The sequence below is a fragment of the Homo sapiens genome, chromosome 9 (assembly GCF_000001405.40).
Source record: "Homo sapiens chromosome 9, GRCh38.p14 Primary Assembly".
In the NCBI taxonomy this organism is placed as follows: domain Eukaryota; kingdom Metazoa; phylum Chordata; class Mammalia; order Primates; family Hominidae; genus Homo; species Homo sapiens.
The window spans coordinates 15,882,934-15,898,155 of NC_000009.12; the positions used below are offsets into that span (position 1 = coordinate 15,882,934).

At 35.6% G+C, this 15,222-nt stretch overlaps 1 protein-coding gene across 33 annotated transcripts in view; it reads left to right on the top strand.

Moving 5' to 3' along the window:
• CCDC171 (coiled-coil domain containing 171) overlaps positions 1 to 15,222 on the top strand; it is a 556,042-nt gene that overhangs the window by 330,049 nt on the left and 210,771 nt on the right. The window contains exons 25-27 of one of the 33 annotated variants that reach the window (XR_001746229.3): positions 2,581 to 2,655; positions 2,757 to 5,155; positions 6,050 to 14,777. The exons of 31 other annotated variants lie outside the window; for them this stretch is intronic. The gene's annotated coding sequence lies outside the window, so the exon portion shown is untranslated. Of the gene's footprint in view, positions 1 to 2,580; positions 2,656 to 2,756; positions 5,156 to 6,049; positions 14,778 to 15,222 lie in introns of those variants that run through there. One more of the 33 variants, XR_007061262.1, reaches the window with a different exon arrangement.

Below are 15,222 nucleotides of genomic sequence, written 5' to 3' on the forward strand. Positions count from 1 at the left end.
AATTATACTCTTTTTGTTCAGATATTTTACCAGCCGATAAAAGCCAGCCTGCCTGCCTGCCTTCCTTCCTTCCTTCCTTCCTTCCTCCCCTCCCCTCCCCTTCCTTTTCTTTTGAGACAGGATCTTCCTCTGTTGCTCAGGTTAGAGTGCAGTGGTGTGATCATAGCTCACTGCAGTCTCAAATGCCAGGGCTCAAGCAATCTTCCTGCCTCAGCCTGCTGAGTACCTAGGACCACAGGTGCGCACCACCATACCCAGGTAATATTTTTAATTTTTTGTAGATAATATTTTATTTTTAAATTTTTTTGTAGAAACACAGTCTCGCTATGCTGCCCAGACTGGTCTGAAACTCCTGGCCTCAAGCTATCCTTCCATCTCAGCCTCCCAAAGTATTGGGATTACCGGCATTAGCCACCATGGCTGGCTCTTTTATTTTAAAAGATTTATTGTAATAAGGTATTTTCTGTATATCCATTATTAAAACATAGTCTTGCACACTAAGGTAGTGCCTTCTGTCTCTCAACTCCTTCTGATAGGTAGAAGGAGTTCTATAAAGTTTTCTTTTTAATACTAGCAGATGAGATATCTTACATCTTGCATCCTGGGTTGTATTTCAGACCAGTGTGTTTGTTTCTTGTTTTTTCTTGTTGAGATTTTTATCTCTCTTTGCCTTTTAAAAAGGACAAGATGACATTTAAGGGCAAGTAATTGCATCCGTGTAAAGCTTCTGCTACAGTTTTAAAGAATCTTATAACTTTGTACTCCTTAATTCAGCTTAATGTATGTATGAATTATATACCTTGCGGGAATGATCTGGTATAACTGATCTGAACTGAGATTAAGGAAAATCTGGTAGGACTTCTTTAAAAACAAGGTAGATTTATAAATTCATTTTTCTAGTTTTGTTGTTTATTATTCCTTTTCTTAATAGGAAAAAATAATTAGGAAGGAAATAAAATCATAGCAGAATCAGTATTACAGAAGGTTGAAGCAGTTATGCAACTTTGCTAGAAAGTAGTAGGACTGGCAATAAAGCAGTTGAAATCCTTCCCCCTGTAGACACAAATTACACCAGTAGCAGGGATTCTCATTATTTTATACAATTGTTTTCTTTTTGTGTGTATGTGGAATACAACATTGTCTTTTCTTGTGAAGGATGAGTATGTATTACAATTCTTGTGGTAGCACTGGATAGAATTCCAGTGCTACTGGAGTTCTATCCTAGAATCACTATTTTCTGTGACCCCTTGACCCTGAATTCTTCCAGCATGTCAGTTTCCTCATCAGTAAAATGGAGGTGATATTACCTGGTCTGGTGCATCTTTGGGTGATTATGAGGATCCTATAACATGTATGAAAGAACTTAGAAAATTAAATCGCACTAATAAATGTTTTTGAAATAATTTTTCTTTAAATATTTGCCATATAAACATCCCTTGGTCAGGTATATATAGATTGCTTAGTTTTCAATTTCAGGTTAATATTTTTACCCCTTTAAAAGACAAGAAAGTAAATCAGATTATATGGAAATTGGCAACCATAAGTCTGTGCAATTTACTGTATGTCATTGAGTTATGTTGATTAGAATGGGAATTATTTTCTTAACAGCATAGTATTTGGAAAAGTTGAAATAATTTCATTTTCTGGGGAAGGAGTCAGCAAGGTAGTATTAGAAAAAGCTTGTGTGGAGAGTCAGAATGCCTGGATTGAAGTTCTGGCCCTGTAATTTAACCACCTCGGTAAGTCACTCAACAGCACAGAGCCACTGTTCCCTCATCTGTAAAAGGTGACAGTGACGCCAGTCTTGCTTTTGCTCACAGGACTGTAGGGAGATCAGATGAGATAATGTGCATGTGAAGGTGATTTTCACATTAAAAAATGCTATATTAGTAAAAGCTAAGTTGGACTGAACTATAAAAGGCCTAAGGTCAGGAACGGTGACCCAACTATATTGAGAAAGGTTTTAGTGTTTTGACTTTTGGAGGTTTTTGATTGATGACCTGTTCAACATGTGCCTTCAAAAAAATAATATGTTCAACAACTTTAGTGTTTCCTTCCAGTTAAGTATACAGCCATTGCCAAGACCCAGGTGGTAAATTCATGCCATATACTACTATTTAAATAATCATATAAAGTAATGCAAACATTACTACTGTTTCCATATTTTGAAACATTTTGTCACCTTTTCATCATTTAATTTTGGGATGATTTCAAATTCCAACTCAAGTGGTGACAGTATTTGCTTTTATGTGAAATGTTTGAGATGCAATTAGTAAAAAACAAAAATGACAAAACGTATCAAAGTACAGTACAGAATTTTGTTTTTTGTTACAACTCTGAGTTCTAGGTGGCCCTAAGTAGAAAAGCTGCTGACATGATGTGAACATAATTTCTTTGTCATTAATGTTAAGAGGCAAAAACTAAATTCTAAACTTGATGCTTTATCTTTTTGTTCATTTTAAGGCCACTTTTTAAATATAACTAGAACTATTATATCTTTTAATACTTATTATTGAGAGAACGAAGCCTGTGAGCAGTTGAACTTTCAAGTGCTATAACCAGAATTGCTATTCATTTTAGCTACTTGGACAAAAAACAGTGTTTGATGGACTGCCTAGGTGAAGACCTGGAAAAGGAAGGGTTATCTACAAATGAGTGAGTTTATTATGGCTTAGTGATTTGCTGATTGATTTCATTTGCTGTCAGTTAAGGCTCTCTTAATGTCAGTTTTCTTTGCATAATGCCTTGAAATGAAGACTGATGAAGTTCTTCAAATTGATGCCGCTTATATAAACTGACCCCGATTTGCCCTATTCTGCATGACAACTTAAGTGACAGCAGTTAGAAGAAAATACAGCAATGAATATGCAACTTAAGGATTAAGGAAGATGCAGTAAATCAGTCTAAAGCTAAGTACAATGATAATTTCTTGTAATAATTCCACAGATGCCTTACATTTGTTAAACAGACTGTTATTACTCTCAAATACTCAAATATATGTTTTCATTATATACATGTATTTGAATTGAAGAAGAGAACTAAAAGTTATTCCAACAGAGATCCTAATTCTTTTCCCTCTTATTTAAACTTGGAATTATCAAAATCACAGTTTTAAAAATATTTTATTTAGGATATCCACATGCAAAAGAATGAAATTGGACCTTGGTCTTACAACATGCACAATAATCAACTCAAAATGGAGTACACAATGTTAGAAAGACCTAATGCCATAAAACAAAGGAAACAACAAAATGGAAAGGCAACTTGTGGAATAGGAAAAACTATTTATAAACTGTATATCCAGTAAGGAGTTTAATATCCAAAATATATAAGGAACTCATACAACACAATAACTTTTTTAAAAAATGGGCAAAGGACCTAAAAAGACATTTTTCCAAAGAACACATGCAAGTGGCCAATAAGTAAAAAGGTGTTCAACACCGCTAACCATTAGGGAAATGAAAATCAAAACCACAATGAGATATCACATCACAACTGTTAGGATGGCTATTACCAGAAAGTCAAAAGACAACAAGTGTTGGCAAGGATGTAGAGAAAAGCGAACCTTTGTGCACTATTGGTGGAAATGTAAATTGGTATAGCTATTATGGAAAACAGTATGGAATTTCCTCAAAAAATAAAAATAGAACTACCATATGATCCAGCAATCCTACTTCTGGGTATACATCAAAAGGAAATGAAACCGTTGTCTTGAAGACATGTCTACACTTCCATGTTCATTGTAGCATTATTCACAATAGCCAAGATATAGAAACAACCTAAGTGTCCTCTGATGAATGAATGGACAGAGGAAATGTTTATACACACACACACACACACACACACACACACCCAGAGGAAAATTCAGCTTTAAAAAATAAAGGAAATCCTGCAATGTGCAACAACATATATGAACATGGAGGACATTATGCTAAGCGAAATAAGCCAGACGCAGAAAGAAAAATACTGCATGATTCCATTTATACGTAGAATTTTTAAAAATCTTACTCACAGAAACAGAGTAGAAGGTGGTTGGGGGTGGTTGGGGGAATGAGGAGATAATTGGTCAAAGGGTAAAAACTTTTGGTCATAAGATGAATAATCTCTGGAGATCATGGTACAGTGCTATATAATGCATTGTGTACTTGAAATTTGCTAAGAGAGTAGATCTTCAGTATTCTCACCACATACACAAAAGAGGGTAACTCTGTGAGGTGATAGATATGTTAATTAGCTTGATTGTGGTAATAATTTCACAAAGTATATATATATTAAATAATCACATTATATCCCTTAAATATATACAAACTTTATTTGTCAAAAAAATATTTCATTTGAGTTTGCATAGTACTGTATATTAAGTAACCAGTGAAATGTAGAGTAATTTTAGAAATGGTTTAGAAAGTACTTTTCAGTTTTGGAGCCTTCTAGTAACAGTAGTAGGTTTTTTTCCCCCTTTTCCCACCAAAAGTCTCATAGTGCTGACTAAAAGGAGGCATAAGTTTTTGAGGGAAGACTAACTTAAGAAGTAACTCACTGAAGAAAACATTAAAAGGTAAACTGTGGCATATAAAATTTTAAGGTATTTGTTTGAGTGAACAGCAATTCATGAGTTGTACAGCTCCAGGCCAGAAGTAGTTTGGAGGTCCTGTTGAGAGAACGCACTCAAATTTCTACACGTTTGTAGACACTAAGCCAAAACCCAAATCAACTCTTTATCTGAAATAAAAGATTGTTGCTTAATTCATTTATTTTCAAAGGAAAAATAAAAATGAAAAATTAAATAAATTCTCATAATAATTTCATTTAGAAATAGTATTATTATTTTTCTTAACAAAGTACCCTTTAAAAAAAAACTCAAAAGACTTGCCAATACTAGCCAATCAAATCCTTCCTTCAATTTTAGAAAACAGGAATTGCATGTAAACAAGTCTGGGCCAACTCTTACAACCTGCTTTCTATATCCTCCTCCTCTGTTCTCCATCTTTCCTAGTTCTTTGAGCCCCAGTGGTCAGGCTGAGCTGAGTATGAGAGAGGGCCCTCAAGAGGCCCTGGAAGCATATTCCCTCAGCTCCTAAATGAAGTCTCCATAAGGTGACCCTAGGAGACTGTGCAGCGTGACTGGCCGCTTGTTTTATCCCAGACTCTTTTCCAGGTAGAAACACTTACCTCTATGGAGATATTTGCTCTGAACAACATGTTTCTTTTCTTGCTGATTATTAGTATGGACTTAAAAAAATAAGAGAAGGTAACACATTTTTAAAGGAGTACTACTTAACTTTTAAAACTTGATGTGATTTTCACATCCTGACTTAATTTTTTTTGGTTGCAATAATTAGAAGAATAATTGGAAGCCATACATATATCTTTTGATTGATGACCTGTTAAACATGTGCCTTCAAAAAAATAAAATGTTCAACAACTTTAGTGTTTCATTCCAGTTAAGTATATAGCCATTCCAAGACCCAGGTGGTAAATTCATGCCATACACTACTATTTAAATAATTACATAAAGTAATGCAAACATTTCTACTGTTTCCATATTTTGAAACATTTCGTCACCTTTATTTACACCATTTAATTTTGGAAAGATTTCAAATTCCAGGGGTATATGTTGACTTGTAGCTCCTCTGAAACTAGCAGAATATCATACCAGAAATTTACACAATGAATTGTTAAACAATTTAGTAGAATTGTTTCGCTTATTATATGGATTTGTGTATGCTCTAGTAAAATATGACCCTATAGACTTAAGCATATATTGCAACAACTCCGAATGATATAATTTTGTTATAACACAGGAGTTATTTTTCATCATTCAGACCCAAATCCCACATCTGAAATTCCACACTCCAGAATGCTCTGAAACTGGTAACTTGAAGGCAAAACCTGACCTGCCCTAATTTTGTGGCAAAACCTGAGAAATATGTTTTTGATTAAAGGGTGCTATTCCAGATCTTGATGAGCTTGATGAGAGTGTTATTTAATATATGGTATATGCCTCATTTTTCTTTTCTTTTTTTTTTTTTTTTTTTTTTTTTTGAGACAGGGTCTTACTTCTGTCATCCAGACTGGAGTGCAGCAGTGCGATCTCAGCTCACTGCAACCTCCACCTCCCAGGTTTAAGCGACTCTCCTGCCTCAGCCTCCACAATAACTGGGACCACAGGTGTGTGCCACCACACCTGGCTAATTTTTGTATTTTTTTTATGGAGACAGAGTTTTACTGTGTTGGCCAGGGTGGTCTCGAACTTCTAACGTCAAATGATCCACCTGCCTCGGCCTCCCAAAGTACTGGGATTACAGCCCACATTTCTAAAATAGGAAAAATCCTGAACTGAGAAACACATTGGTTCCAAGGGTTTCAGATAAAGGAATGTGAGAATTGTACTAGCATTATAAAACAGGTTCTATGCAAAGGACATATACTGTTGTTTCCATGCATTGTGTCAATGCAATCAAACAAAGGTTTTTTGCTTATAGAGAAGCACATTCAGTCTGTGGGATGGTATATTTGAGTGAATTTTTGCTATCTACTCTCTCTTGCATCTTGTTTTGAGTCATAAAGGAATTGTGTAGTATTTTATGCCACTTGAAAACTCGAAAGACTTCAACAGTTGTGTTATGTGCAAATCAGATAAGGCTCTAATAGGCTTTATCTTGCTTGTGTATAGTACCTGTTTGCAAACTAAAGGCACATTTTCACTCCATGCCAGTAGGAATCCTCTGAGGCATTATTTTTTGGGCCCCTCCCACTTTATGTACTGAAAGCAGAATGGATGAAATGCCTTGACACATAACTTACTTATCTTTTCTTACTCAACATTCTAATGTGTTCTCACTGGTAAAGGAATGCAGATTTTTTGAAGGATCTGGAGAAGCCAGACTCTGCTGGTATTCAGACAATTACTCTAGATAGAGAGAGGAAGTCCTCTTGTTGTGAGTCCAGTGGCTTGGTGGTTCGTATCCTGGATTCCTGGTAGTCCATAGGAGCAACAGGGACTAGAAATGGCTTTGTTTCAAAGTTCTCTGCTTATTCTAGAGAGGAAATAAAAATATCACTTAATAGTATTTAGAGACCAGTGTGAACTAAGATACTGGCTTTAAACCAAAATGGCCAGCTCTGTTGATCATATAGATTTGAATGTGGCTAACATCATTCAGTGACGTACTGAGCACCTACCAAATGTAGGGCATTGCGCTGTACTCTGGGACACAAAGGTAACTCAAACTTTTTTTTTTTTGAGGGGAAAGAGAGAATGTGAAATTTAATATGAAAGTTGAGACTGATATGAAATGAAAGACATGGTTGCCATAGGAGAGGCATAGATAAAAGTACCATTGCTTGCCCTTTAGAGATGAATGAAATTTGTTCTTGCTGGGTGATTAGGAGAGGCTTCATAGAGGAGGTAGCATTTGAGTGGACCTTGAAGTTTATGTGGCTACAAATTCCTTTTCCTATAAAATGCTATTGTCAGGAAATACAAATAGGAAATATCTGGAGTTTGAGTCTCATCCACTAGGTAGCTCTGCAGCAGTGAAGTCTATAGGATGACTTTTAATCTGCAAAATGGGGATTGACCTGGAGGATTGGTAAGGTTTTTTTTTTTTGCAGCTACTGAAACTCTGTGATACTGCAAATAAACTATGGTCTTAGGAGAATTTCATGGCACTCTTATTATTTATTCCTTCACAATGTACAAAATAAATTCATTGCTTTAGTTGAAAATCAGAAGGCACCTGGGAATCAATTTGTCCTTAAAACAAAATGGCTATTTATTAAATATGTGCAATTCTTTGTTTATTAATTATACCTCAATAAACCTGTTTTAAAAACTAAAATGGTAACAATATTTTTTTCAGAGTGATATAGTTTAACATACTTCAATGAATTTTGTTATAGAATAGAGATTATAGGGATTATTGAAGTAGATGATAACCCTGGCTGAAGCATGCAAATTCCCAAACCAATTTGCTGTATTATATCAGAATCAGAGTGGAATCATGGTGATAAAAGGACTGGCTCTTAATAAAGGCATAAAATATTTTCTCTCTTTCTCTCTTTGCCAATTTGCTTTTCTTCAGGTATATTGAAAATTGTTCATATTATATTTAAGTAAACCACAAACAAGTACATCAAATTCTTATAATTCTAGCTAAATGTGTTTTTAGCACCTCTGTCCAAATTAATATAAAGAAACCAATTATGGATGTACTTTGCTGAAATTCATAAATAAAACTAACAGTTTGATGTGAAAAGAGGAAAGATAAGGCAGTCAAAAATGTGTGGATGTGTGGATGTATTTACTCTGAGTCAGTAGCTTAAATGCACTTTCTGAGGAGCTGTTTGTTTCAAGATAATGGATTGAGCAGTTTTTCTTTGATAGTGAACAACTAGCTCTCAACCCTGCAAGCTATTTATTTCTGTAGCTTTTCTTTTTGCACTAACACTACTCTTTAAGACAATTTTTATATTGAACCCCAAAAGGTCAGAATTAGGATGTGTCTTTGGTCCATTGTCAGATCTGATCAAAGCAGTTGGATCTTTGTAGGTCGATTATGGAACAGACACACGGGAGGTGCTGGTTATCACTTTGTTTAGTCTGCAAAAAGTGTAAATCAGAAAGAGATAATTGAGATAGAAAGTGCCTTTATTAAGCCCCAAATATCTTTTGAAGGGGTTAAATAGGCACTTCAAATATAATCCACATTATTAATGAAATTGAAAGGCTCACTAACTAAAATGAAGAACCATACCAATATTTTATAATCTTAATGTAATCAAGTGGAATAAGTATGTATGGAACTCCTGTTCTTTATTTAACCCTGTGCTTAATAGGTGACTGGGTGAGATGACAGAGAATGAACGAGCATGCAGGGAGGATGAATTAAAAAGAAAGAACCTCAGTGTTACCATTCCTAATTACAAGGAGAACAAAACAAGCACTAATACGGGAATCACTGAGTACCAGCATGTATGCTGGGAGCCTATGGGACGCATGAGGATGGGAAAGGGCCTGAATAGATCACTAACCTTGTTTTGGACCTTTCCCCAATCCCCCATCTTTTTCTTACTAACAAGAGGCATTTGGCTTTTAAAAGGAAATAATCTTTATTAGTGTTTTATCCACTGCGTTTCAATATGAAATTTTAAAATGTTTTATTTCCCCAACTTGAAAAATGTGAATCAGATATAGGATCATGTCTTCTGCAAACAAAGATAATTTGACTTTCTCTCTTTCTATTTGAATAGCCTTTATTTCTTTCTCTTGCCTGATTGCCTTAGCCAGAACTTCCAATACTATGTTAAATAGGCATGGTGAGAGAGGGCAGCCTTGACTTGTGCCAGTTGTCAAGGGGAATGCTTCCAGCTTCTGCCAATTCGGTATGATATTGGCTGTGGGTTTGTTACATATGGCTCTTATTATTTTGAGGTGTGTTCCTTCAATACCTAGTTTATTGTGAGTTTTTAACATGCAGGGATGTTGAATTTTATTGAAGGCCTTTTCTGCATCTATTGAGATAATCATGTGTTTTTTTTCTTTAGTTGTTTAGTTTATGTGATGAATCACGTTTATTGATTTGGTTATGTTGAAGCAACCTGGCATCCTGGGGATGAAGCCAACTTAATCTCAGACCAAACCTTCTTAAGCAACTTCAGCAAAGTCTCAGAGTACAAAATCGGTGTGCAAAAATCACCAACAACAGGCAAGCCGAAAGTCAAATCATGAATGAATTTCCATTCACAGTTGCTGCAAAAAACAAACAAACAAAACCTAGGAATACAGCTAACAAGGGAAGGGAAGGACCTCTTCAAGGAAAACTACAAACCACTGCCCAAAGAAATCAGAAAGGACACAAACAAATGGAAAAATATTCCATGCTCAAAGATAAGAAGAATCAATATTGTGAAAATGGCCTTACTGTCCCAAATAATTTATAGATTCAATGCTATTACCATTAAACTACCATTGACATTCTTCACAGAATTAGAAAAAACTATTTTAAAATTAATATGGAACCAAGAAAGAACCTGAATAGCCAAGACAATCCTAAGCAAAAAGAACAAAGCTTGAGGCATCATGCTGTCTGACTTCAAACTATATTACAAGGCTACAGTAATCAAAACAGCACGGTACTTGTATAAGCACAGATACATAGACTAATGGAACAGAATAGATAATCCAGAAATAAGACCACACACCTGCAACATCTGACCTTTGACAAACCTGACAAAAACAAGCAATGGGGAAAAATTCCCTATTTAGTAAATGGTGCTGGAAGAACTGGCTAGCCATATGCAAAATATTGAAACTGGACCCCTTCTTTACACCTTATACAAAAATTAACTCAAGATGGATTAAAGACTTAAATGTAAAACCCAAAACTATAAAAACCTTAGAAGAAAATCTAGGTAGTACCACTCAGGACGTAGGCATGGGTACAGATTTCATGATGAAGATGCCAAAAGCAATTGGAACTGAAGCAAAAATTGACAAATGGTATCTAATTAAACTAAAGAGCTTCTGCACACCAAAAGAAGCTATCATCAGATTGAGCAGACAACCTACAGAATGAGAGAAAATTTTTGCAATTCATCTGACAAAGGTCTAATATCCAGAGTCTACAAGCAACTTAAACCAATTTACAAGAAAAAACAAACAGCCCCATCAAAAAGTGGGCAAAGAACATGAACAAACACTTCTCAAAAGGAGACATACATGTGGCCAACAAACATATGAAAAAAATCTCAACATCACTGATGATTAGAGAAATGCAAACTAAAACCACAATGAGATGCCATCTTGTGCCAGTTAGAAAGGCTATTATTAAAAAGTCAAAAAACACAGATGCTGGTGAGGTCGTGGAGAAAAAGGAACACTTTTACACTGTTGGTAGGAGTGTAAGTTCAACCACTGTGGAAGACAGCATGGCGATTCCTCAAAGACCTAGAGGCAGAAATACCATTTGACCCAGCAATCCCATTACTGGGTATATACCAAAGATGTATAAATAAATCATTGTTATAATGATACATGCACACGTATGTTCGTTGTAGCACTGTTCACAATAGTGAAGACATGAAATCAACCCAAATGCCCTTCAATGATAGATTGGATAAAGAAAATGTGGTACATACACACCATGGAATACTGTGCAGTCGTAAAACAGAACGAGGTCGTGTTCTTTGTGGGAACATGGATGGAGCTGGAAGCCATTATCCTTAACAAACTAACATAGGAACAGAAAACCAAATACTGCATGTTCTTACTTATAAGTGGGAACTGAATGATGAGAACACATTTACACATGAAGAAGAACAACACATACTGGGGCTTGTTGGGGGCGAGTTGTGGGGGAAGAGCATCAGGAAGGATAGCTAATGGATGCTGGGCTTAATACCTAGGTGATGGGATGATCTGCGCAGCAAACCACCATGGCACACGTTTACCTGTGTAACAAACCTACACATCCTGAACATGTAACCCTAAACTTAAAAGATAAAAAAAGAAAAATATGAGTCATTTTTGCCATTCCTCCCTTCTTATACAGCTAAATGGCTTCCCATCACCCTTAAAATGAACTTCAAACTTCTCACTTTGGCCTTGGGCTCTTCATGATCTGGGCCCTGCTGCTCTCCAACTCCATCACCTTAACATTCTCCATCTCATTCACTGAACTATAGTGACACTGACCTTTTTCCTGTAACTTGAACACAGTGCACATAGGCCCATTTTAGAGGCTTTGTGCTTGGTGGTCCCTTTACTTGGTATCCCTTTCTCTCGAATTTCCACAAGGCTCACTCCTTCACTTCATTTATGTCTTTGCATAAATATCACCTCATTGAAGACTTCTCTCATTCCTTACTAAAATAACCTCCCTTCTCCCTGCATATTTTATAGCCCTGACGTAATATGTTTGGCTGTTATCTATTTGTCACCAAAATGTAAGATCCAACAGGGCAGGGCTTTATATACTTTACCACAGTATCTTCAGCACCTAGAACATAATGGGTGCTCAATAATATTTGTTGAATATGTTAATGAATGAACCAGGATTTTCTCCCTTGTGGCCTTTTTGAGAGGCAGAACTGCATGCAAATTAAGGAAAAAAGTAGGAGGTTTGAAATCAAATGGACCTCTTATTTCCAGCCATGTCACTTTTTAGCAATGTGCCTGTAAGGAAGTTATTTATGAACTCTGAGCCTTGGGACCTTTATATCTAAAATATTGCTAAATAATTCCTGTTTTTCAAGGACTGTGTAAAAAGTAAGAGATTATGTATGCCATCACAGAAAACAGACTATGTTCCTATTTGCATATGCTTTATTTAGTAGAGTCAGAGAATGGCTGCCTTTTGAGTGAGGAGCCTAACCATTCTGCACAGGTGTATCTGTTACTTGCTAAGTGTTAGAGAAAGTCAAAGTAACTGTGATCTCCAAGGAGTGTACTCTTAGATATCAAAAATTCATAAGAACATTTCCACTTATCGAGGCCAGATGTCATGATTTTGACACTTGAGCAGAGGTGGACTGCCTGAATTGTAGCTGACACCATTGCAATAGAATCCAAATATTCACCTATATACTCACACCACCATACTCTGTCTTATCTATATGTCAATAGACTCCAAAGTCTCCAAAGCAGCTCTAATAATCTTCATTGTAAAACTCCTAATGATGTCAAGAGAGAGAAGGTGCTGAAGAAATGATAACCATAATAATATATTTTTGTGTGTGATGGAGAACTAAAGTAATGAAGTTAAGCTTCTTCTTGTTTTCCTATGGCCCACAATTCTGCTTTAGTCACTAACCAAGCAACTTCCAGTTTATCAGACCTTGTTTTGCAACACATTAATAAAGCCAGTGGCAATTCTGTAATTTACCAATATGACAAGCATTTTTCAGGCTGCTTAAATTTCTAAGTCCCTAAAGTAAGGCAATTTATTAGTATTGGTGTTATCATCACTGATCTAGTAGTATCTTCTGAGAAACTCATTCCTCTGACTTTTTCTAAGATTATTGTTGCCTTTTATGGTTTTCATGTCCATATGCAATGGTTTTCACTAGGAACTTTTCTCATTCTCTGATTATTTTGATGACCTCTTTTCCATATTTTTGTAGGAAACCATGTTGGTTTTTTTCTATGTAATTGTCCCTTTGCTCTTTCTTTACAGTAATCTTTAGCATAATAAGGGCAATAATCACCATCAATCTAGAAGCTGCATTTGCCCTTAGAATTAGCCTTGATTCAGTTCTACTTGGAAGTAACATATTTGAAAAAGTATTGGTCTTATTTTTGGCACATTTAAGTTGTATATGCCATGGTTGAGTGGAAGCCAGAAAAAAGTTTAGAGTCTAAACAAGATACAAAGAAAACATCATTTAAAAAAAGTCTGCTGCAAAAGTGTTCTGCAACTCTGCTGAATATGGTTTCCCATGAGACTCCTTCTCATACCTGAAGAGCTATTATATTTACATCCTTCAAAGATGGTGCCAGTAAAAACTTTGAGTGATGGGATAAGTCAAGTCCAGGGCCATTTCAAATGCCAAAAAAGGAAAATGAACTTAGATTCTCTTTTTCTTGTATAAAATAACACCAACAAAACAGCTGAACTACATGCAGCATCACATCAAGTCAGTTTACAATTTTGCCTTCAGTTGTGCTTGACTAAGGAGGTTGCATATTTGCAACAAAATTTTTTCTCTTCTACTGACCTGATACATTTGCTATCCTTATCAATGTCACCATTATCACTAAAAAGCCCTTCAGTATCTGTGTATACACTGCATTCAGTATCTAGTTACACATTGTTTTTACCATAGCCTGTAATAGTCATATACAATTTTAACTGAACAGTGGTGGCCCAGACCAGTCTATAAAGGAATAAAATTCTTGTATATGTACACAAACCCTAATACATGTAGGACCGAATATGGGCTATCCAGAAAACTTCTTATAAATAACGAAGGGAGAGGAACTTGGTTCACTAAAATCCTAGTTTTTATATAAAAGAAAGGTCATTTTTTTCTGTCAGATAATTTTCCGGGCAGTGCAAGATGAAAGCCTTCCCCATCTTAGTAGTTAAAATGGAAATGGAATATAATGTCTCTGAGTCCCATTCCTTCTATACATATATCCAGCATGTATAGATCTCATTCAGAATTAGAATTTATGAGTTAGATGAGCTAATCCTATGTGGGCAGGATTTGGGATATCACTGTCTTGGTATTTTGCTTGTCAAGTCCTTTACTGATGCTAACAGGTCCTTTTAGTCAGGCTGCTGAGAGATACATAGCACATTATCATTTTACATGTATAAGTTAATCGAGTATACCAGAAGTTGTTTTCCTTTTTTCCAAGTCATCTATTGTGTGGATAATAGATGATTTGCTATAATTTCTAAGCTTAATTTTTTCCCATTAAAAAAATCTAAGTCTTCTTCCAAATTATGTATGTTTTTAGCATCAAAAGATGTTTTGATGGAAGTGTGGAAGTTATATGGCATGCTTTGATAGAATAGAGATTCATTATTTTGTTACAAATGTTTATTGAACAACTACAGAATGAATGAAGTTCCCAAGAAAATATCATTTGAAGTTCTTTTATTTGAAATATTTATTTACATAAACAAAAATCTGTAGCTCAGAGTCAATGCAGAGTAATACTTATTAATGATTGTGAGATCTTTGAAAATCCTGGTGTCATAGCAAAATTCAAAAGGGGTTTGCTTTGTATCTTTTTCAGTTAATAAAGGAGAGAACATGGATCAATAAAAGAGAGAATATGGATTCAATTGTTGTTATATGAATGTTGTAATAAGTTAGCTGTGCACTTTATGAAACTTGGAAAGCCTGGATTAAGTCTACTGATTTCACTGAGAAACAAATAAACAAACATCAACCAGTCCAAATCAAACCAGGAAACTTGGAACACATTGAGTGAACATGGGCTTTGGAATTGGACAGGCATGGATTTGAATCCCAATTCTGCTCTTTATTAACTGGGTGACACTGGACAAGGTACTTAGCATCACTGAACCACAGTTTCTTAGTCTATAAAGATAATATGAGTCTTACAGCATTATTGGAAGGCAGCTATAATCCTGGTGTAACACCAATACACCTACAGGATTATTGTCAGAATTAGAAAAAATACGCAAAGCTTATAACATGGTGTCTGGCCTGCAGTAGCTGTTGTTATAACCAGGGTCCAGGCAAACC